Source organism: Homo sapiens, chromosome 7 (assembly GCF_000001405.40).
Source record: "Homo sapiens chromosome 7, GRCh38.p14 Primary Assembly".
NCBI lineage: Eukaryota > Metazoa > Chordata > Mammalia > Primates > Hominidae > Homo > Homo sapiens.
Window position 1 is genome coordinate 45791660 of NC_000007.14, and position 23625 is coordinate 45815284.

The window sequence follows — 23625 nt, forward strand, 5'->3', positions numbered from 1 at the left end:
CCTTCCCTCCTACGTTTCTCCTAGAAGCCCTTAAATTTTGTTTTTCACATACCATTTAAAACTTTTGAGTGCTGATGTTTGTCTGTGTCATCCCTCTTTTTTTAAGAATGTCTTTTTGTCACTTCTAGCTGGACCTACCATGAAAGACTTCTGAATCCAGGAAGAGAGACTGACTGGGCAACATGTTGTTCAGGTACAAAAAGACTTGGACCGTAACTCAAAAATGATCAAATAATAGTGCATGCATCAAGTGCAATGGGAAGCTCTTCTGGAGAGGGAGAGAAGCTTCCAGTTAAGGTGACATTGAAGCCAAGTCCTGTAAGATGAGGAAGAGTTATATGAGAGTGGGGAGGGAAGGGGGAGGTGGAGGGATGGGGATTGGGCTGGGCTGGGATGGAATGAGCTGCCCAGGCAGGGAAACCAGCACTATATAGACCTGAACAATGAAGATGGCACATTTTGTTCAGGGAATGGTGAATTAAGTGTGGCAGGAATGCTTTGGAGAGACGGTCATTTGCTTGTATGGAATTTTGCCCAAGAGACCTCATTACAGTTTCTAATTTTTTGATGTTATCATGCATCACTGCCCTTGTCAGATAGTATCATGATCACAGTAACATCAAGCATAATATTTCATTGATCCTCACAAAAACAGGTGGGTGCCACAGTTATCCCCATTATGTGCTCAAAATGATGAAGACTTGGGGTTAATGAGCAATTTGCCCAAGCTCACCTGAATATTAAGACTGAGTCAAATGTTATTCTGGTCTGACTTTAATGCTTGCCTTGTTCATGAGCACCGTGCATTGCCTCTCCTATGCAGTTAAGCAGGTAGACAGGTGAGAGAAGAGCCCGTGTGATATCGGGGGAAATTCACCCCTGATATTTCATGTAGGTTCTTTTCTATTTTCCCTGAGTGTCGGCCAGTCTGAGAAATAAAGGGAAAGAGTACAAAAGAGAGAAATTTTAAAGCTGGGTGTCCAGGGGAGACATCACATGTCAGCAGGTTCTGCGATGCCCCCCAAGCCGCAAAACCAAAAGTTTTTATTAGTGATTTTCAAAAGGGGAGGGAGTGTACGAATAGGGTGTGGGTCACAGAGATCACATGCTTCACAAGGTAATAAAATATCACAAGGCAAATGGAGAATATATATGATTCACATACCCTTCAATTGATTTATTTATTGAAATCTGCAATTCAGTAGGTTTTAGAATATTCACAGAGCTGTGCATTGATCACCACAGTCACTTTTAGAACCTTTCATTATCCTGTAGAGAAATCCATACCCCTTAGCCGCTACCTCCTACTCTCCCCACCTACCTTCGCCCCCAGCCTTAGGCAACCATTGATTAATTTTTTTGTCACTATAGATTTGCCTAATCTGGACAAATAGAATTGTACAATATGTGATCTTTTGTGGCTTTTTTCCCTCTTAGCACAGTGTTTTCAAAGTTCCTTTATGTCATAGTGTGTATCAATATTTCATTCCTTCTATGGCAGTATTCCATGGTAGAGACACACTGCATTTTGTTTATTTGTTCATCAGTTGGTGGATATTTGGGTTGTTTCCATGTATTCCATGTATTGGTCATTATGAATAATGCTGCTATGAAGATTGTTGTACAAGTTTTTGTGTGGACATATATTTTTATTTTTCTGGGATATATGCCTATGAGTGAAATTGTTGCATTATAGGATGACTGTACATTTAGCCTTTTGAGAAACTGCCAGACTGTTTTCTAAAGTGGCTACACCAGTTGGGTGCAATGGCTCACACCTGTAATCCCAGCTACGCAGGAGGCTCAGCTAGGAGGATGGCTTGAGCCCATGAATTCAAGACCAGCCTGGGCAAGATAGTGAAACCCTGTCTTGATTTTTTTAAAATCCAATTAAAATGACAAGAAAAGAAATACCCAAACAAAATGGTTACATGATTTTATGTTCCCACCAGTAATGTATGTGGGTTCCAATTCCTCCACATCTTCACTGACATTTTTTTTTTTCTAGATAGGGGCTTGCTCTGTCTCTCAGGCCGCAGTGCAATGATGCCATCACAGTTCACTGCAGCCTTGACCTCCCAGGCACAAGTGATTCTCTCATCTCAGCCTCCTGAGTAGCTGAAAATTACAGGTGTACACCACCATGCCTGGCTAATTTTTATATTTTTTTGTAGTGATGGGATTTTACCATGTTGCCCAGGCTGGTCTCATACTCCTGGCCTCAAGTGATCTGCCCACCTCAGCCTCCCTAAGTTCTGGAATTACAGGCTGCCACCATGCCCGGCCTTCACCAACATTTGCCATTATCTGCTTTTTTTTTTTTCCTTTATACCTTAAAGCAGTATAAGAACAAGTGTCTTCAATTATAGGAAACAGTATAATCCCAGGGCATTGGGAGGCTAAGACAGGAAGATGTCTTGATGCCAGGAGTCTTTTTTGTTGTTGTTGTTTTTGTTTTTGTTGTTGTTGTTGCTGTTGTTGTTGTTTTTGACAGAGTCTCGCTCTGTCACCCAGGGTGGAGTGCAGTGATGGGGTCCACTGCAACCTCCACCTCCCAAGTTCAAGTGATTCTCCTGCCTCAGCCTCCCGAGTAGCTGAGACTACAGGTACACGCCACTACTGCCCAGCTAATTTTTTTATTTTTGGTAGAGTCAGAGTTTCACCATGTTGGCCAGGCTGGTCTCGAACTCCAGACTTCAGGTGATTTGCCTGCCTTAGCCTCCCAAAGTGCTGGGATACAAGCATGAGCCACCATGCCCAGCCTGATGCCAGGAGTTTTAGACTAGCCTGGGCAACCTAGCAAGACCTTGTCTCTACAGAATATTTAAACATTAGCCAAACGTGGTGGTGCCTGTGTATAGTCTCTCTCCCTCTCTTTTTTTTCTTTCTAACTTTTTGTGACATGGTCTGGCTCTGTCACCCAGGCTGAAGTGCAGTGGTGTGATCATGGCTCACTGCAGCCTGAAACTCCTGGGATCAAGTGATCAATCCTCCCACCTCATCCTACCAAGTAGTAGAGACCACAGGTATATGCCACCCAGGTCTTGCTATGTTGCCCAGGCTGGTCTTGAGCTCCTGGCCTCAAGCAATCTTCTCACCTTGGCCCCCCACAGTGCAAGGATTACAGGTATGAGCCGCCATGCCTGGCCCCTACCCTGCCTATTGAGAACCAAAAGAAGGATCCAAATTCTCCTTAGCTCAACTCGAGCCATTTCCTGATTGCTTCATCAGCAAGAAGCTGGTTATTGGGCTGTCCAGGCCTCCCAAGCAGCACAGAAATGAGGTGAAGGAGTTTTCCTGCTGCTCCACTCTGTAAGGAGTTGGAGGGTGATGTTTACTCGTTTGCAGAGAGAGATGCCTTGTAGGCACCTCAGGATGGAGAGGACCCTGATTCCAATGTCCTTTTTTTCTTTAGAAACAGGACCTTGCCCTGTCATTTAGGATGGAGTTCAGTGGTCCAATCATGGCTCATTGTAGCCTCAAACTCCCAGGCTCAAGCAATCCTACCATGTCAGCCTTCCCAGTAGCTGGGACTACAGGTAAGCATCGTGACACTCAGTGAATTTTGTTTTTATTTTTTTGTAGAGATGGGGCCTCAGTATGTTGCCACGGCTGACCTTGAATTCCTGCACTCAAGGGATTTTCCTGCCCTGGCCTCCCAAAGTATTGGTATTACAGGCATGAGCTATTGTGCCCACCGTCTCTGGTTCTTAACCTTCTGCCTCCCTCTTCCAGTTTTAAAGAATGCTTGTAATTACATGGGCTCTCCTAGATACTCCAGGATAATCTTGTTTTAAGGTCAGCTGATGAGCAACATTAATTTTATCTGCACTCTTAATTCCCCCTTCCTATGTAATTGTGCTGTGTAACATAGGACATGAGCAATTGGTGGCGGCGGTGGGGGTTATTACTTTGGCCACCACAGTAACTATTTTATGCCAGGTACTCAGCTAAGCATTGGTGAATTAAGCATGAATAACACACACTCCCTAATCTCCATCCATTCATGGGAGGAGCACCTCACCTGCCATGCTCCTGAGAATCTCGGCAGTCAAAGAAGTCTTCTATGAGGAGGTGATGCCAAAGCGGACAAGTGACAGAGGAGTCGAAGCTAGCTAGGAAGAGAGTAGAGGTTTAAGGGGAAGCATATTATAAGCAGAGGATATCACCCACTTCAGAGACTCCCAGAGGAGAAGGAGTGGGCGTTCAAGGGGCAGATGAAGCTCAGTTGGACTCCATAGCAGATGAAATGGAGAGGGGCAAGCAGTGAGGCTGCCTTGCAAGGCAGGGCAGAGCAGGGGCTGTTAAGGAGTTTGGACTTAATCCCTGAGGCAAGGAGAAGTGATGTAAATGGGGGAGTAACATGATGAGATTCATGGATTAGAGACATGGCTCAGGCTGCTGTAGAGAAGGCACCAGGGAGAGCAGATGGCTCAATGGGTGTGCAGGATACCTCTCACTGAGTTTAGGGAAAGGTTTTTAAAACAGAAGAAGTTTGAGTAATTTAAATTATGATGGGAAGGAGCTAAAAGTGGGGGATAGGTTAAAGATACAGGAAAGTGGGAGGAAGAACTGACAAGTGAGGTTCCAGAGAGGGCAGGAGAAGAGGAGATTCCCATAGGGGGATTAACACTTTCTTTTCTTTTTTCTTTCTAAGACAGGGTCTCACTCTGTCGCCCAGGCTGGAGTGCAGTGACACAATCTTGGCTCACTGTAGTGTAGACTTCCCAGGCTCAAGGGATTCTCCCACCCCAGACTCCCAAGTAGCTGGAACTACGGGTGTGCACCACCACCACACCTGGCTAATGTTTCTTTTTTTGGTAGACACAGAGTCTCACTATTTAGCGCTGATTGGTCTCCAACTCCTGGCCTCAAGCGATCCTCCTGCCTAGGCTTCCCAAATTGCTGGGATTACAGGCATGAGCCACAATGCCTGGCCTCTGCTAGTTCCATATTCTCTAGAGTTGTCTTTACTTTCTGCTAGTGTGTCCCTCATTGTGCTGATCCTCTGTAAAAATTAATACCTTTTTTTTTTTTTCGAGATGGAGTTTCACTCTTGTTGCCCAGGCTGGAGTGCAATGGCGCTATGTCGGCTCAGCGCAACCTCCACCTGCCGGGTTCAAGCCTCCCGAGTAGTTGGGATTACAGGCATGTGCCACCATGCCCAGCTAATTTTGTATTTTTAGTAGAGATGGGGTTTCTCCATGCTGGTCAGGCTGGTCTCCAACTCCCGACCTCAGGTGATCTGTCTGCCTTGGCCTCCCAAAGTGCTGGGATTACAGGCATGAGCCATTGTGCCTGGCCGAAATTAATACTTTTTATATTAAATTTACATATATATACGTTTTTTCTTTTTGATACCGGGTCTCACACTGTCACCCAGGCTGGAGTACAGTGGCACAACCTCTGCTCACTGCAGCCTCCACCTGCCAGGCTCAAGCAATTCTCCTGCCTCAGCCTCCTGAGTAGCTGGGATTATAGGTAAGTGCCACCACACCCAGCTGATTTTTGTGTTTTTTGTAGAGACGAGGTTTTGCCATGTTTCCCAGACTGTTCTCAAACTCCTGAGCTCAAAGCAGTCCACCCATCTTGTCCTCCCAGAGTGCTGGGATTACAGGTGTGAGCCACCTTGCTCATTCTAGTTTAAACTGTTGAGTGGTTTGTGTCTCCTGATTGGACTCCTACAAATACAGAATTGATGCTAGGAAGGGTACCAGGAGATAGACGCATACAGATGGGATTTGGGAATAGGTTTGGTTATCCAAGGAGCAGTGCTGAGCTCCTTGCTAATGGGGTATGGGATGCTGGTGATTTCCAGGAAGTGAGCTCACAATGACTCAAGCTACCACATAGTGTTGATTGTGAAATGCCAGTTGAAGCATATGTCCTGCGAGCTTAGGGGTGCTACAAGTTGACCACTGCAGCAGTAAAGATGACTCTGAAGAATGGCATGGGATGGATCCTTTCGAATGCACTTGAGCAGCGGTCTCCAACCACAGGGCCACAGAGCTGGAGGTGAGCAGCAGGCGAGTGAAGGGAAACTTCATCTGTATTTCTAGCCCCTCCCATCGCTTGCATGACCACTTGAGCTCCATGTCCTGTCAGATCAGCAGCAGCATTAGATTCTCATAGGAGCACAAACTCTGTTGTGAAGTGTGCATGCGAGGGATCTAGGTTGTGTACTCCTTATGAGAATCTAATGCCTGATATTCTGTTACTGTCTCCCATCACCCCAGATGGACAGTCTAGTTGCAGGAAAACAAGCTCAGAGATCCCACTGAGTCTACATTATAGTGCGTTGTAGAATCATTTCATTATATATTACTATGTAGTAATAATAGAAATAAAGTACACAATATATGTAATGCACTTGAATCATCCTGAAATTATTCCCTCACTCCCAATCTGTGGAAAAATTGTCTTCCACACATTCACTCTGTTTTTTGGTAGAGGCAGGGTCTTAATATATTGCCCAGGCTGATCTCAAACTCCTGGCCTCAAGTAATACACCTCTCTCAGCCTCCCAAAGTGCTGAGATTACAGGCATAAGCCACCACCTTCAACCAAGACTTTCTTAAACCAAATAAAAATTAAGTGAGATTACTTGAGCCCAGGTTGTCAAGGCTGCAGTGAGCCTGATTGCACCACTGCACTCCAGCCTAGGTGACAGAATGAAACTGTCTCAAAAAATAAAATAAAATAAAATAAAATAAAATAAAAATTAACCCTTTATGACATTCCCAGTAACTTTCCCTCCTAAGTGTTCCCCACAAGTCTTTGAATTCTGTTTAATTTTCACATAACATTTAAGACGTTTAAGAACTTATGTCTGTCTGTGTCATCCCTTTATGTCAAAAGATGTCTTTTTGTCACTTCCAGCTGGATCTACCATGAAAGACTTCTGAATCCAGGAAGAGAGACTGACTGGGCAACATGTTATTCAGGTACAAAAAGATTTGGACTGTAAGTTAAAAATGATCAAATAATAGTGCATGCATCAAGTGCAATGGGAAGCTCTTCTGGAGAGTGAGAGAAGCTTCCAGTTAAGGTAACATTGAAGCCAAGTCCTGAAAGATGAGGAAGAGTTGTATGAGAGAGGGGAGGGAAGGGGGAGGTGGAGGGATGGGGAATGGGCTGGGATGGGATAGCGCAAACTGCCCTGGAAGGGAAACCAGCACTGTACAGACCTGAACAACGAAGATGGCATATTTTGTTCAGGGAATGGTGAATTAGGTGTGGCAGGAATGCTTTGTAGAGACAGTAATTTGCTTGTATGGAATTTTGCCTGAGAGACCTCATTGCAGTTTCTGATTTTTTGATGTCATCATTCATCACTGTCCTTGTCAAATAGTTTGGAATAGAATGATCATAATAACCCCAAGCATAATATTTCATTAATTCTCACAGAATCACAGGTAGGTGCCACAGTTATCCCCATTTTATGAATGGAGTGATGAAGCCTTAGGAATAATGAATGATTTGCCCAAGCTCACCTGGATATTAAGACTGAGTCAAATGTTGGGTCTGGTCTGACTTTAATGTTTGCTTTGTTCATGAGCACCACGTATTTCCTCTCCTATGCAGTTAAGCAGGTAGACAGGTGACAGAAAAGCCCATGTTTGTCTCTACTCACACTCTTCCGACTGAATGTATGTATGGAGTTTCTACACCAAATTCTCCAGTGCTCTGGATATTAACTGGGTATCCCATGATTTTATTCTGACACTGCCTGGAGTTAGCACAGACCCCACAAGTTACGGGCTCAGTCCCACGAGACCATCCTCACTTCAGATGCCAATGGCAAGTCCTAGGTTGTCACCTGTACTTTTGACCAACCTGTTACAAATTGGGGGTTCCCATAACTCTATTCTTGGGTTTAATTATTTGCTAGAACAGTTTACAGAACTCAGAAAAACAGTTTATTTTCTTTTTTTCTAAGAGAGAGGGTCTTATTTTTTTGCCCAGGCTGGTGTGCAGTGGTGCAGTCATAGCTCACTGCAGCCTTGACTGCCTGGGCTCCAGTGGTTCTCCCACCTCATCCTCCCTAGTAGCTGAGACTACATGCCTGCACCACCACATCTGGCTAATTTATTTTTTGTATAGATGGGGTCTTGTTGTGTTGCCCAGGCTGGCCACAAATTCCTGGTCTCAAGTGATTCTCCCACCTCTGCCTCTTAAAGTGCTAGGATTACAGATGTCAGCCACCGCATCTGGCCAGTTCATCTCCTATTGCTGGTTCATTGCAAAGGATACATTTCAGAAACAGCCAATGAAAGAGACGTACATGCTGGATGCAGTGGCTCACGCCTGTAATCTCAGAACTTTGGGAGGCCAAGGTGGGAACGTCGCTTAAACTGAGGAGTTTGAGACCAGCCTAGGCAACATGGTGAAAACCTGTCTCTACAAAAAACAAAAAAATAATAATAACCGGGTGTGGTGGTGTGCACCTAGAGTTCCAACTACTAGGGATGCTGAGGTGAGAGGACACCTTGAGCTGGGGACTGGGGAGGCTTAGGTTACAGTGAGTTGAGATTGTGCCACTCCACTCTAGCTTGGACAAAAGAGCCAGACCCTATCTCAAAAAAAAGAAAGATGCCCAGGGCAAGGTAAGTTAGGAGGGGCACAGAGCTCCCATGCCCTCTGTTGAACATGCCACCCTCCCAGCATCTCCTGTGTTCAGCAACCCCGGAAGCTCCGCAAACCCTGTTCAGGGTGTTTATGGAGGCTTTATTATGCAAGCATGATTGATAAAATCTTTGGCCATTGGTGATTAAGGCAGTCTCCAGCCCCTCTTCCTCCTGGAGTTCAGTGCATGAGGCTGAAAGTTCCAAGCGTCTAATCATGTGGTTGCTTCCATTGGCAATCAGCCCTCCTCCTGAAGAAATCTAGGAGCTTGCAGTCACCCAGTCATCTCAACAACATCCCCAAATGCATTCTTACCATGCTGGAGATCCCAAAATTCTTAGAGGCTCTTGTGTTAGAAACCTGGGACCAAGACCAAATATTAAAACAAAAGATGTTCCTGTCACATCTATCACTGAGGTCTTTGTAAGAGCTTTAGAAGCTCTGTGCCAGGAACCAGGGACAGAGATGAAATATATATTTCTTTTCTTTTTTTTGAGACAGAATCTCCCTGTGTCATCCAGGCTGGAGTGCAGTGATGTGATCATAGCTCACTCTAGCTTTGGCCTTCTGAGATCAAGCGATCCTCCCATCTCAACCTCCCAAGTAGCTAGGACTACACATGCATGTCACCCATGCCCAGCTCATTTTTGTAGAGTCGGAGTTTCACCATGTTGGCCAGATGGGGTCTTCTTTTGTTGCCCAAGCTGGCCACAAATTCCTGGGCTCAAGTGATCCTCCCACCTCATCCTTGTAAAGATGAGATTTAGTTATGTCGTCCAGGCTGATCTCAAACTCCTGGGCTAAATCGATTGTCTCACCTCAGCCTCTCAAGTAGCTGGGACTACAGGCGCATACCACCATGTTGGGCTAATATTTATTTTTATTTTTTTCTAGAGGCGGGGGTCTCACTATGTTGTTCATGCTAGTTTCAAACTTCGGGCCTCAAGTGTTCCTCCTGCCTTGACCTCCCAAAGTGTTGGGATTCTGGGTGGGAGCCCCCATGCCCAGCAATTACAAGGGTCTTTATAAAAGAAAGAGAGTAGGAGATTCAGAATTGGAGCAGGAGATGTGGTGATGAAAGCAGAGGTAAGAGAGGGAGATTTGAAGATGCTTCACTTCTGGCTTTGAAGATGGAGTCAGGGGCCATGATCCAAGGAATGGGGGTGGCTTCTAGAAGCTAGAAAAGCCAAGGGAACACTTTAGAGTCTCTAGAAGGAATGCAGCCCTGCTGACACCTTGACTTTAGCCTTAATAGACCTAGTTTGGGTTTCTGGCCCCTAGAACTGTAAGATGGTAGATTTGTGGTGTTTTAAGCCACTAAATGTAGGAAACTGCAAACTATGTTGCAGCAGCAAGAAGAAATGAACATGAAGCCAGGCATGATGGCTCATGCCGGTAATCCCAGCACTTTAGGAATTTAGGCAGGAGGATCACTTGAGGCCAGCAGTTCAAGACCAGTCTGGGCAACATAGTAAGACCTTGTCTCTACAAAAAATGAAAAAATTGGCCAGGCATGGTGGCTCATGCCTGTAATTCCAGCACTTTGGGAGGCCGAAGTGGGCAGATTACCTGAGGTCAGGAGTTCGAGACCAGCCTGGCCAACATTGCAAAACCCCGGCTCTACTAAAAATAGAAAAATTAGCTGGGCGTGGTGGCACGCACCTGTAATCCCAGCTACTTGGAAGGCTGAGGCAGGAGAATCACTTGAATCTGGGAGGTGGAGGTTGCAGTGAGCTGGGATTGCACCATTACACTACAGCCTGGGCAAGAAGAGTGAAACTCTGTCTCAAAATAAAATAAAATAAAATACTAAAAAATTTAGCCAGGCATGATGGCATGAACCTGGAGTCCCAGCTACTCGGGAGACTGAGGTGGGAGGATCACTTGAGCCTGGAAATTTGAGGTTGCAGTGAGCTGTGATTGCGCCACTGCACTCCAGCCTTGGTGACAGTGAGATCTTGAAAAAAAGAAAGAAGAAAGTAAAGAAAGAAGAAATGAGCATGGTGGGCATGGGGACAGATGGCAATGTTAAATAGAATGGTCAGGGGTGGCCTCCTAAGTGAAAATTGAGTAAAGACTTGAAGGAGGGGAAGGAGCTGGCCAAGGTGCTGAGGGAAGAGGCTTGTAGGCAGAAACAATAGAATAAAGTGTCTGAGGTGTGTCTGCGGCTCTGGAAGGAGGCCCATGGAGCAGACGGAGAGAGGGAGAGAATTAGGGGAAGGGGGCCAGGGAATTGCTGGGTGGAGATCAGTACAGATCACATAAGCCCTGGGAGGTTATTCCTGGGGCTTTGGCTTTTACTCTGACTCAGATGGGAACTGCGGGAAGGTTCTGAGCAGAGAGGTGACATGATCTGTCTCCCAATTTAAAAGCATTGTCTGGCTGCTGAGTTGAGAAAGACTGTGGGAAGATGTGGGTAGAAGCATGGGGGCCAAGCTTTGGCAACATCCAGGCGGGAGATGATGGTGGTCCTGACCAGGGTCGTGGTGGTGTTGAGAGATGGTCAGAGGGGAGAAGTAGGGGAGGAGGCCAGGGAGTTACTGGGTGGGGATCTTTAGTACATGTTGAAGACAGTCAACAGGATTTCCTGACAGACTGGATATGGGGTGTGAGAGAAGGCAGGGGTCAAGGTTGAGTTTGATTGTTACTGAAATTATTAAGTAATTTTAAAAAACACTACTGCCTTTCCCAATCCTACCAAGTATGGGATGCTAGATTAAAGAAATCTCTTCAGGCTCATTGCAGTGGCTCATGCCTGTAGTCCCAGCTGTTTGGTAAGCAGAGGTGGGAGTATCTTTTAAGGGCAGGTGTTCAAGACCAGCCTGGACAACACAGCAAGATCTGCTCTTTACAAAAATATTTTTCAAAATTAAATAAATGTAGCTAGGCATGGTGATGTGTACTTGTAGTTTCAGCTACTCAGGAGGCTGAAGTGGGCAGATCTCTTGAGGTCAGGAGTTTGAGGCCAGCTTGGGCAACATAGCAAGACCCCTCACTCTACAAAAAAATTAAAAAAATAACCAGGCATGGGGGCACTCAACTGTACTACCAGCTACTGGGGAGCTGAGGCAGGAAGATGGCTTGAGCCCAGGAGGTCGAGGCTGCAGTGAGCTGTAAGTGCACAGCTGCACTCCAGTCTGGGTGACAGAGCAGGACCTGTCTCACAATACAAATAAAAATACAAGTAAAATAATGAAATCTCAAGTCAGAGCCTTTTGGCTCTGCAGCACTTGCAACCCCTCAGCCGTGCAGTGGGGTTTGTGTCGCTGGGAATGAGGAGACCCCTGCCCGGTGTTGTTGCATGTCTAATCAGTGTTTTAAAACATATATTAATCGGGGTGGGTGCGGTGGCTCACACCTGTAATCCCAGCACTTAGGGAGACCCAGGCGGATGGATCACCTGAGGTCAAGAGTTCAAGACCAGCCTTCTCTACTAAGAAAACTCCTTCTCTACTAAGAAAATACAATAATTAGCCGGACATGGTAGTGGGCGCCTGTAATCCCAGCTACTTGGGAGGCTGAGGTAGGAGAATCGCTTGAACCTGCGGGGCGGAGGTTGCAATGAGCTGAGATTGCGCCACTTCACTCCAGCCTGGGCAAAAGAACAAGACTTTGTCTCAAAGAAAAAAACAAAAGTATTATATCAACATGTAATGGTTTTATTATTAATATGTGATGAATATTAAATATTTTTAAAATCTTGTATTATATCAACATGTAATGGCTTTAATATGTGATGAATAATATTTAAAAATTTTTGTCTTATTTTCTAGTTTTAATATAATTATTTACAGAAAGAAATAGTCTTAGAGTTCTTCAATAAAGTTAAAAAATGTAAAGGGATGTTAGACCCCAAAAGATTGAGAATTTCTAGTTTAGAAATATTCAGAGTAAGCCACATACAACTTGCTACTTGAACTATTTTTTTTCTTTGTTTTTTATTTTAGGAGATGGGGTCTCACCCTGTCACCCAGGCTTGAGTACAGTAGTGCTATCACAGCTCACTGCAGCCTTGAACTCCTGGGCTAAGGATCCTCCTACCTGAGCCTCCTGAGTAGCTGGGACTGTAGATATACATGACGATACTTGGCTAATTTTTAAATTGTTTTGTAGACATGGGGTCTCACTTTGTTGGCCAGGCTGGTGTCAAACTCATGGCCTCAAGTGACCCTTCCACCCCTGCCTCCCATCCTAGAGGTATGTGCCATCACAAGGAGCACTTGTTCAATTTTCTAAAAAAAAAATTTCTAAAGTAAGGCTGTGGGATGATGGCAGGAAGATAAAACAGAAGAATAAGTTAAAATGACTTATTCACACATATTCTTTTGATAGCAAGAAGAACTTTTAGTATATACATTCCTTACAAACAAACAAAAGGCAGATAAACAATGTTGTATAGGAACTTCAACACACACTGTACAATATTCCCACTTTGCTGACATAAGTTATGGAAATTTCATGGTTTACTTGAGTGTCGCTACCAGTATTTTGCTTCTCTGATCATTTTTATCAACTTCCTCATCTGTTAACTTCTCTCCAAGGTATGTCATATCATGACATACTGCCGCTGCACGAACATGGCCAGTGTCTTCCTATTAAACATGTAGAATGCTTTCCTAATTTCTCTTTTTACTCTCTGTCTTTGTGTTTTGCATTTTCCTTACTTTTATTGTCAGAAACTCCAGAAAGTCAATCATACTAATTTATCACCATTTGCTTTATTAATTTATACTTTGCTTATATGGAATTTTGCCCAACAGACCTCATTACAATTTCTAACCTGTTTTAGTTTGTTTTGTTTTTTTCTGAGACAGGGTCTCCCTCTCTTGTCCAAGGCTGGAGTGTAGTAGTGCTATCACAGCTGACTGCAGCCTCAACCTTCCAGGCTGAAGCGATCCTCCCATCTCAACCTCCCACGTGGCTGAGACTATAGGTGCTTGCCACTATGCCCAACTAATATTTGGAATTTTCCTATACGTGGATTCCAGAGGGGTGACAGCGAAACGTGAGTAAGCATGGATTTTGGTATATGCAGAGATGGGGGGCTGGAACTAATTCTGTATACTGAGGGACAACAGTATATGTTTTTACAATTACGCTGTAAGATACATACTGTTGCATAGCCTTGAAAATAATAATTTTTAATTGAGTGGAATAATAATATTGATAAAAGTAGCAGCTGGCCAGGTGTGGTGGCTCACACTGGTAATCGCAACACTTTGGGAGGCTGAGGCAGGAGGATGGCTTGAGGCCAAGAGTTTGCGATAGGCCTTGGAAACAAAGGGAGTCACCATCCCTATAGAAAAATACATGAGTTAGCCTAGTGTGGTGGCATGTTCCTGTAGTCCCAGCTACTTGGGAGGCTGAGCTGGGAGGATCACTTGAGCCCAAGGAGGCTGAGACTGCAGTGAGTCATGATCAGGCCTCTGCACTCCAGCCTCAGTGACAGAGTGAGACCCTGTCTCAGAACAACAAAAAAGTAGCAGCTAACATCAACTGACCTTTTACCAGGTGCCTATTGATACCATAGTTTAATTTCTTATAACTGTTTCTTATTTCACTTACCAACTCTGTCTTCAGTTACTCCCCAGATTTTTACTGTGTTTGTACAGATGACCTTTTGTTGAGATTGAATTGTCTCCCCAGAAGTAAGATTACTGTGAGTCATGGTGAATGGACATTCTCCTTACCCTTGATGTAAATGGACAAGGTTTTGGGTGCCTCCCAGCTATAATCTTAGCACTTTGGGAGGCTAAGACAGGAGGATTGCTTGAGGCCAAGAGTTGGAGGAGGCAATATGGCAGTATGGTGAGACCCTGTCTGTATTATTTTTAAAAATTGACAAGCTTTACCCTGGAAGGCTTATACACAATTTAAACATCCCTCATAGTATAAGAAAGTGCCCATTTCACTGCACCTTTGCCAGCACAGGGTATTATAATTTAGTAAGTCATTTTTTGTTTGATTATTTTAAATAGATAAAAGACCTCATATTACTTTACTTGTCACATTTCAACATCTTCCCTTAGCTTATTAGCTCTATTTCTTTTCTGTCTGTAAATGGTTGTTGTTGTTTTGTTCTTTGAGACAGGGTCTTGCTCTGTCACCAGGCTGGACTGTAGTGGCATAATCATGCCTCACTGCAGCCTTGACCTCCCAGGCTCAAACTTCAGCATTCCGAGTAGCTGGGACTACAAGTGTGCACCACCACTCCCAGCTAATTTTTTTCTTTTTTTGGATAGAGACAGGGTCTCACTGTATTGTCCAGACCGGTCTCTAGCTCCTGGCCTTAAGCAATCCTCCTGCATTAGCTTCTCAAATTGCTGGAATTTCAGGCATGAGCCACCATGCCTGGCCTGGGCTAGTCCTATATTCTCTAGAGTTCTCTTTACTTTGTGCTAGCCAATCTCTCATTATGCTGTTCACCTGTTATAATGAATAATTCTCTGTATTAAATTTTACCACTTTAAACTTTTGAGCAGTTTATGCTTCCTGATTGGACTCTAATATGTTAGGAAGGGTCCCAGGAGATAAACCCACACAGATGGGATTTGGGCATAGGTTTGGTTTCCCAGGGGGCAGTGCTGAGCTCTTTGCCAGTGGGAAATGGGATGCTGGTGATTTCCAGGAAGTGACCTCACAATGACTCAAGCTACCACTTACTGTTGATTGTGACGAAATGCCAGCTGAGGCACATGCCTTGGGAGCTAAGTGGTTGCTGCACTTGACCACTGTGAAGACTGGTGTGGGAAGGGTTGTTTTGGATGCACTTGAGCAGGGGTCCCCAACCCCTGAGCCATGGAGCCGTAAGGAGCCACACAGCAGGAGGTGAGTGGTGTCGAGTGAGGGAGTGAGGGAAGCTTCGTCTGTATTTACAGCCACTCCCCTTTGCTCACATTCCCGCCTGAGCTCCACCTTCTCAGATGAGCAGCAGCATTAGATTCTCATAGGAGAGCGCACCCTGTTGTGAACCGTGCATGTGAGGGATCTAGGTTGCGCTGTCCTTATGAGAATCTAATACCTATTGATCTGTCACTTTCTCCCATCACGCTCAGGTAGGACCATCCAGTTGCAGAAAAACAAGCTTAACACGCCCACTGATTCTACATTATGGTGAGTTCTATAATTATTTTATTATATATTACAGTGTAATAATGGAAATAAAGTGTCTAATAAATGTAATGTGCTTAAATCTTTTGGCCCAGCCCCTACCTCCCGGCAGCCTCTCCAGGCCCAGAACTTTCTCCAGTCAGCCTCCACAGACCAAGCTCATGACTCACAATGGCCTATTTAGGCCCATACCCTACCTCACGGCAGTCTCTGCAGATGAGGCTACTGCCTCACAACAGCCTCCACAGGCACAGCTCCACCGTTACAATGGCCTCTTTAGACCCAGCTCCTGCCTCCCAGCCTTCTCTCCAGGCCCTGAGCTTTCTCAAGTCGACCTCACCAGGCCCAGCTCATGCTTCTTGGCAGCCTCTCCAGGCCCAGCTCCTGCATCTTGGCAGCCTCTCCAGGCCCAGCCTCTGCCTCCTGTCAGCCTCTACAGTCCCAACATCTGCCTCACAGCAGATTCTTCAGGCCCAGTATCTGCCTCACTGTGGACCACCCAAGCCAAGCTCCCAACCTTTCAGCAGCTTCTACACACCCAGCTCCTGCCACCCAGTGGCCTCTTTAGGCCAAGCTCATGCCTCACAAGGGCCTTTCCAGGCCCAACTTTTGTCTCATGGCAACCTTCCCTGGCCACATTCCTGCCTGTCTCCCAGCAGCCTAGACAGGCCCAGGTCTTGCCTCACACTGGCCTGTCTACATCCAGCTCTTGCCTCACGGTGGCCTCTCCAGGCCCAGCTCCTGTCCCAGGACGTCATCTCCAGGCCCAAAACTTCCTCAAGTCAGCCTCTCTAGTCCCAACTGCTGCCTCCTGGTGGCCTATGAAGGCCCAAAATCTCCTCAAGTTGACCTCTCCAGGCCCAGCTCCTGCCTCCTGTCAGCGTCTACAGGCCCAACCTCTGCCTCATGGGGGCTTCTCCAGGCCCAGCTCTTCCTCTGGGCTGAGTCTACAGGCACAACTGCTGCCTCACAACAGCCTTTTTTGGCCCAGTTCCTGTCCAGCTCACAGCGACCAATGTAGGCCCAAAACTTCCTCAAGTCAAACTCTCCAGGCCTGCCTTCTTCCTGGTGGCATGAACAGGCCCAGCTTTGACTTGAGAACAGCCTCTGCAGGCCCTGCTCTTGCCTCCCAGGGGCTTCTCCAGGCCCAGCTCTTGCCTCATGGCGGCTGCCCCAGGCCAAGTTTCTGCCTGCCTGCCAGCAGCCTCAACAGGCACAGCTCTTCCCTCACAGTGGCCCATTTAGGCCCAACTCATGACTGTCGGGCCATTTCCAGGCCTAGTGCCTGCCTCCTGGCTGACTCTTGAAGCCCAAAACTTCCTCAAATCAGCCTTTTGCCCAACTTCTGTCTACTGTCGGACTCTACAGGCCAGCCTCTGCCTCACAGTGGACCCTCCAGACCCAGATGGTGTCTCACTGTGGCATCCTCAGGCGAAGCTCCTGCCTTTCAGCAGCCTCTACGGGCCCAGCTCCTGCCTTGCAATGGCCTCTTTAGGCCAAGCTCATGCCCCACGGCGACTTTTCCAGGCACAGCTTTTGCCTTTTGCAGCCTGTCCAGGCCCAGAATGTCCTTAACTCGGCGTCTCCAGGACGAGCTCATCCTCCCAGTGCGTCTACAGGCCCGTCTCCTGCCTCACAACAACCTCCTTTGGTCCAACTCCTGCTGAGCTGCTTGGCAGCCTCTGTAGGCCACAGAGTTCTTAAAGTAAAGCTTTCCAGGCCCACCTTCGGCCTCCCGGCAGCCTCAGCAATCAAACTATTCCCTCACTGCGGCCACCGAAAGCCAAGTTTCTCCCTGCCTCACAGCATCCTCCGAAAACTGAGCATTTGCCTCACGGTGGCCTCCCCAGGCCACGAATCTGCCTGCCTCCCAGGCAGCTGCTGCCTCACAATGGTCTCTTTAGGCCCAGCTCTTGCTAAAAGACAGACTCTCCAGGCACAGCTCTTGCCTCCTGGCAGGCTCTGCAGGCCCAAATTCTCCAAAAGTTGGCCTCTCCTAACTCAGCTCCTGCCTCATGTCGGCCTACACAGGCCCAGACTCTTACCACACAGTAGACCCTCCAGGCCCACCACTTGCCTGAGCATAGCCTCCTAAGGCCAAGCTCCTGCCTTTCGGCAGCCTCTACAGGCCCAGCTCCTGCCTCGCAATTGCCTTTGTAGGCCAAGATCATGCCGCGAAGTGGCCTTTCCTAGCCTAACTTTTGCTTTTTGACGCATACTCCGGTCCCAAAACTTCCTCCAGTCAGCCAGTCCAGGCCAAGCTCTTCCTCCCAAAGGCTTCTGCAGGCCAAAATCGTCCTGAAGTCACCCTCTGCAGGCCCAGCTCCTGCCTCCAAGTGCTGTGTAGGCCAAGCTAATGCCTCACAGCACACTTTCCAGGCTGAGCATTTCCTTTTGTGCATCCTCTCCAAGCCCTGAACTTACTCCAGTTGGCCTCTCCAGACCAAGCTCTCCCTCCCAGTGGCCTCTACAGGCCAAAATTGTCCTCAAGTCAGCCTCTCCAGGGCCAACTCCTAGCTACCGGTGGCTTCTGCAGGCCAAAATCGACCTCAAGTCAGCCTCTTCACACCCAGCTCTTGTCTGTAAGTGGCCTCTGCAGGAGCAAAACTGCCTCAAGTCGGCCTCTCCAGGCCCAGCCTCCTGCTTCCCGAGGGCATGTACAGGCCCAGCCTCTGCCTCACAGCAGACTCTCCATGCCCAGCTCTTCCCTGTCTGCTGCCTCTCCAGTCCAAAGCTGCGCCTGCCTTTCGGCAACTTGTACGGGCCCAGCTCCTCCCTCACGGTGGCCTCTTTTCGCCCAACTCATGCCTCTTGCAACCTGCCCAAGTGTCAGCTCCTGCCTCACACTGGCCTCTTGAGGCTCAGCTCATGCCTCTCGTGGCCTCAACGGGCCCAGCCCCTGCCTGTCGGCGGCCTCTACAGGCCCAGCCTCTACCTCACAGTGGGCTCTCCAGGCCCACCTCTTTCTCACCGTGGCCTCCTGGGGCAATGCTCCCCGCTCTCGGGAGCCTCTGCGGGCCCAGCTCCTGCCTCCCAGTGGCCTCTGTAGGCCAAGCCCGTGCCTCAGGGCAGCCTTTCCAGGCCTAGCGTTTGCTGCTTTGCATCCTCTCCAGGCTCTGGACTTCCTCCAGTCGGCCTCTCCAGGCCCAGCTCTTCCTCCCGGCGGCCTCTGCAGGCCCAGACTGTTGTCAAGTCGGCCTGTCCAGGGCCAGCTCCTGCCTCCCGGTGCCCTCTGCAGGCCCAAGTCGTCCTCAAGTCGGCCTCCCCAGGCCCAGCTCCGGCCTCTCGGCGGCCGCTCCAGGTGCAAAAGTTCCTCGAGTCAGCCTCTCCAGGCCCAGCTCCTCCTGCCTCCCAGCGGCCTCTTTCGGCCCAGCCCAGCTCATGCCTCCCGGCGGCCTTCCCGGCCTCCTGCCTCCCGAAGGCCTGCACAGGCCCAGCCTCAGCCTCACAGCGGACTCTCCACGCCCAGCTAGCTCTCGCCTCACTGCGGCCTCCCAAGTCCAAAGCTCCTGCCTCTCGGCCGCTTTGGCAGGCCCAGCTCCCGCCTGCCAGTGGCCTCTTCAGGCCCATGGGGCTCATTCCTCACAACGGCCTTTCCAGGCCCAGTTTTTCCCTTCCGGCGGCCTCTGCGGACCCAGAACCTCCTCAAGTCGGCCTCTCCAGACCCACTTGCAGCCTCCCGGCGTCCTCTCCGGGCCCAGCTCTTCCTCCCGGCTGCGTCTCCAGGCCCGACTGCTGCCTCCCAACAACCTCTTTGGACTCAGCGCCTGCGCATCTCCTGGCGGCCTTGGTCGGCCCACAGCTTCCTCAAGCCAAGCTCCCCAGGCCCAGGTCAGGCCTCACGGTGGCCTCTCCAGGATCAGCTCCTGCCCTCCGATGGCGTCTCCAGGCCCCAAATGGTCTCCGGTCAGTGGGCTCCTCCACGCCCAGCTTGGGCCTCCCGGTGACCTCTGCAGGCCCAAGTCGTCCTGAAGTCGGCGTCTCCCGGCCCTGCCTCCCAGCAAGTAAGCAAGCTCTTTTGGCTCAACTCCTGCCCAGCTCCCAGCCGCCTTTGTAGGCCCCGAACTTTCTCGAGCCAAGCTCTTCGCGCCCGCCTACTGCCTCTCGGTGGCCTGTACAGGCCCAGCTCTGGCTGTAGAACAGCCTCTGCAGGCCCCGCTCTTGCCTCCTAGGGACCTCTCCAGGCCCAGCTCTCGCCCCCACGGCGGCCTCCCGGGGCCAAGTCCCTGCCTGCCTCCCGGCAGCCCGCGTGCGGCCCAGTTCCTCCCTCACGGTGGCCTGTTGATGCCCAACTCATGCCTCTGACACCCTGCCCAGAGGCGTGAGTCCCTGCCTCACACTGGCTCCTCCCACGCTGAGAGGTCGGCGTGAGCCCCTTGCCTCACACCGGCCCCTCCCATGCTGAGAGAGGTCCGCATGAGCCCCTTGCCTCACACTGGCCCCTCGCCTCACACTGGCCCCTCCCACGCTGACAAAGGTCGGTGTGAGCCCCTTGCCTCACACTGGCCCCTCGCCTTGCACCGGCCCCTCCCATGCCAAGAGAGGTCAGCATGAGCCCCTTGCCTCACAGCGGCCCCTCCCACGCCGAGAGAGGTCAGCGTGAGCCCTTGCCTCACACTGGCCCCTCCCACGCTGAGGTCAGCGTGAGCCCCTGCCTCAACAGGCCACTGTGAGGGAGGAGCAGGGCCGCACGCAGGCTGCCGGGAGCAGGCAGGGACTTGGCCGCGGTGGGGCGAGAGCTGGGCCTGGAGACGCCCCTGGGAGGCAACAGCGGGGCCTGCAGATGCTTTCTGCTGCCAGAGCTGGGACTGTACAGGCCACTGGGAGGCAGGATGTGGGCCTGAAGAGCTTGGCTGCAGAAACTTCGGGGTCTACAAACGCCGGCGGGAGCTGAGCCAAAAGAGCTTGCTTGCTGGGAGGCAGGAGCTGGGCCGAGAGATGCAGCCAGGAGGAACAGCTGGGCCTGCAGAGGCCGCCATGCGGGAGGCAGAGGCCGGGCCTCCTCAAGTCGGCCTCTCCAGACCCACTTGCAGCCTCCCGGCGTCCTCTCCGGGCCCAGCTCTTCCTCCCGGCTGCGTCTCCAGGCCCGACTGCTGCCTCCCAACAACCTCTTTGGACTCAGCGCCTGCGCATCTCCTGGCGGCCTTGGTCGGCCCACAGCTTCCTCAAGCCAAGCTCCCCAGGCCCAGGTCAGGCCTCACGGTGGCCTCTCCAGGATCAGCTCCTGCCCTCCGATGGCGTCTCCAGGCCCCAAATGGTCTCCGGTCAGTGGGCTCCTCCACGCCCAGCTTGGGCCTCCCGGTGACCTCTGCAGGCCCAAGTCGTCCTGAAGTCGGCGTCTCCCGGCCCTGCCTCCCAGCAAGTAAGCAAGCTCTTTTGGCTCAACTCCTGCCCAGCTCCCAGCCGCCTTTGTAGGCCCCGAACTTTCTCGAGCCAAGCTCTTCGCGCCCGCCTACTGCCTCTCGGTGGCCTGTACAGGCCCAGCTCTGGCTGTAGAACAGCCTCTGCAGGCTCCGCTCTTGCCTCCCAGAGGCCTCTCCAGGCCCAGCTCTCGCCCCCACGGCGGCCTCCCGGGGCCAAGTCCCTGCCTGCCTCCCGGCAGCCCGCGTGCAGCCCAGTTCCTCCCTCACGGTGGCCTGTTGATGCCCAACGCATGCCTCTGACACCCTGTCCAGAGGCATGAGTCCCTGCCTCACACTGGCTCCTCCCACGCTGAGAGAGGTCCGCATGAGCCCCTTGCCTCACACCGGCCCCTCCCATGCTGAGAGAGGTCTGCATGAGCCCCTTGCCTCGCACCGGCCCCTGCCATGCTGAGAGAGGTCGGCGTGAGCCCCTTGTCTCGCACCGGCCCCTCCCACGCTGAGAGAGGTCGGCCTGAGCCCCTTGCCTCGCACCGGCCCCTCCCACGCTGAGAGAGGTTGGCGTGAGCCCCTTGCCTCACACTGGCCCCTCCCACGCTGACCCCTTGCCTCACACCAGCCCCTCCCACGCTGACAGAGGTCGGCGTGAGCCCCTTGCCTGACACTAGCCCCTCCCACGCTGACCCCTTGCCTCACACCGGTCCCTCCCACGCTGATCCCTTGCCTCACACCGGCCCCTCCCATGCTGACAGAGGTCAGTGTGAGCCCCTTGCCTCACACTGGCCCCTCCCACGCTGATCCCTTGCCTCACACCGGCCCCTCCCATGCTGACAGAGGTCAGCGTGAGCCCCTTGCCTCACACCGGCCCCTCCCACACTGACAGAGGTCAGCGTGAGCCCCTTGCCTCACACCGGCCCCTCCCACACTGACAGAGGTCAGCGTGAGCCCCTTGCCTCACACCGGCCCCTCCCACACTGACAGAGGTCAGCGTGAGCCCCTTGCCTCACACCGGCCCCTCCACACTGACAGAGGTCAGCGTGAGCCCCTTGCCTCACACCGGCCCCTCCCACGCTGACCCCTTGCCTCACAGCGGCCCCTCCCACACTGACCCCTTGCCTCACACTGGCCCCTCCCATGCTGAGAGAGGTCGGCATGAGCCCTTGCTTCACACCGGCCCCTCCCAGGCTGAGAGAGGTCAGCGTGAGCCCCTGCCTCAACAGGCCACCGTGAGGGAGGAGCAGGGCCGCACGCAGGCTGCCGGGAGCAGGCAGGGACATGGCCCCGGGCGGCCGCGGTGGGGCGAGAGCTGGGCCTGGGGACGCCCCTGGGAGGCAACAGTGGGGCCTGCAGACGCTCTTCTCCTGCCAGAGCTGGGACTGTACAGGCCACTGGGAGGCAGGATGTGGGCCTGAAGAGCTTGGCTGCAGAAACTTCGGGGTCTACAAACGCCGGCGGGAGCTGAGCCAAAAGAGCTTGCTTGCTGGGAGGCAGGGGGTGGGCCGGGAGATGCAGCCGGGAGGAACAGCTGGGCCTGCAGAGGCCGCCATGCGGGAGGCAGAGGCCAGGCCTCTCCAGACCCACTTGCAACCTCCCGGCGTCCTCTCCGGGCCCAGCTCTTCCTCCCGGCTGCGTCTCTAGGCCCGACTCCGGCCTCCCAACAACCTCTTTGGACTCAGCTCCTGCCCAGCTCCCAGTGGCCCTGGTAGGCCCACAACTTCCTGAAGCCAAGCTCCCCAGGCCCAGGTCAGGCCTCACGGTGGCCTCGCCAGGCTCAGCTCCTGCCCTCCGATGGCATCTCCAGGTCCCAAACGGCCTCCGGTCGGTGGGCTCCTCTAGGCCCAGCTTGGGCCTCCCGGCGGCCTCTGCAGGCCCAAATCGTCCTGAAGTCGGCCTCTCCAGGTCCAGCTCCAGCCTCCCGGCAGCCTCTGCAGGCCTAAGTTGTCCTCAAGTCGGCCTGGAAGTGGGCCTGGAAGAGCTGCAAGTTGGCCTCCCTGGGCCCAGCTCCGTCCTCTTGGCCTCTCCAGGTGCAAAACTTCCTCGAGTCAGCCTCTCCAGGCCCAGCTCCTCCTGCCTCCCAGTGGCCTCTTTTGGCCCAGCCCAGCTCATGGCTCTCAGCAGCCTTCCCAGGCCCCGCTTTTGACTTTTGGTGGCCTCTTCAGGCCCAGAACTTGACCTCCAGTCGGCCTTTGCAGGCCCGGCTTCCTGCCTCTCGAAGGCCTGCACGGGCCCAGCCTCAGCCTCACAGCGGACTCTCCACGCCCAGCTAGCTCTCGCCTCACTGCGGCCTCCCCAGTCGAAAGCTCCTGCCTTTCGGCCGCTTTGGCAGGCCCAGCTCCTGCCTGCCAGTGGCCTCTTTAGGCCCAGCTCATTCCTCACAACGGCCTTTCCAGGCCCCGTTTTTCCCTTCCGGCAGCCTTTTGGCCTCTAATTTGTTTATCTTTTGTGTATAAATCCCAAAATATGGAATTTTGGAATATTGCTACCATTATATAAATATTTTCGTATGTAATTTATTTGGAGTGAGTTTCTG

General features: G+C 51.0%; 1 long non-coding RNA gene and 3 pseudogenes across 10 annotated transcripts in view; all 4 read left to right on the top strand.

Annotated features, from left to right (window-relative positions):
• The window catches only part of GTF2IP13 (general transcription factor IIi pseudogene 13), a 36002-nt pseudogene extending 22522 nt beyond the window's left edge, over window positions 1-13480 (top strand). For 2 of the 8 annotated variants that reach the window (XR_242174.5, XR_007060309.1), the window contains 4 exons: window positions 129-193; window positions 3416-6015; window positions 6880-6944; window positions 12573-12613. The product of XR_242174.5 is annotated as a general transcription factor IIi pseudogene 13, transcript variant X1 (transcript). Of the gene's footprint in view, window positions 1-128; window positions 194-3415; window positions 6016-6236; window positions 6344-6879; window positions 6945-8336; window positions 8348-9122; window positions 9160-12572; window positions 12614-13439 lie in introns of those variants that run through there. The other 6 variants (XR_001745191.2, XR_007060308.1, XR_007060307.1 and 3 more) reach the window with 6 other exon arrangements.
• An 89-nt stretch (window positions 13481-13569) lies between these two features.
• Window positions 13570-16251, top strand: LOC730234 (uncharacterized). Its single transcript, NR_146388.1, has 3 exons — window positions 13570-13630; window positions 15681-15738; window positions 15831-16251. It is a non-coding gene; the product is annotated as an uncharacterized LOC730234 (long non-coding RNA).
• Window positions 16252-18390: 2139 nt separating this feature from the next.
• On the top strand, window positions 18391-23604 carry LOC112267918 (putative uncharacterized protein FLJ44672; annotated as a pseudogene). The gene is made up of 2 exons (XR_007060303.1): window positions 18391-19384; window positions 20743-23604. The product of XR_007060303.1 is annotated as a putative uncharacterized protein FLJ44672 (transcript).
• On the top strand, window positions 22371-23604 carry LOC112267911 (putative uncharacterized protein FLJ44672; annotated as a pseudogene).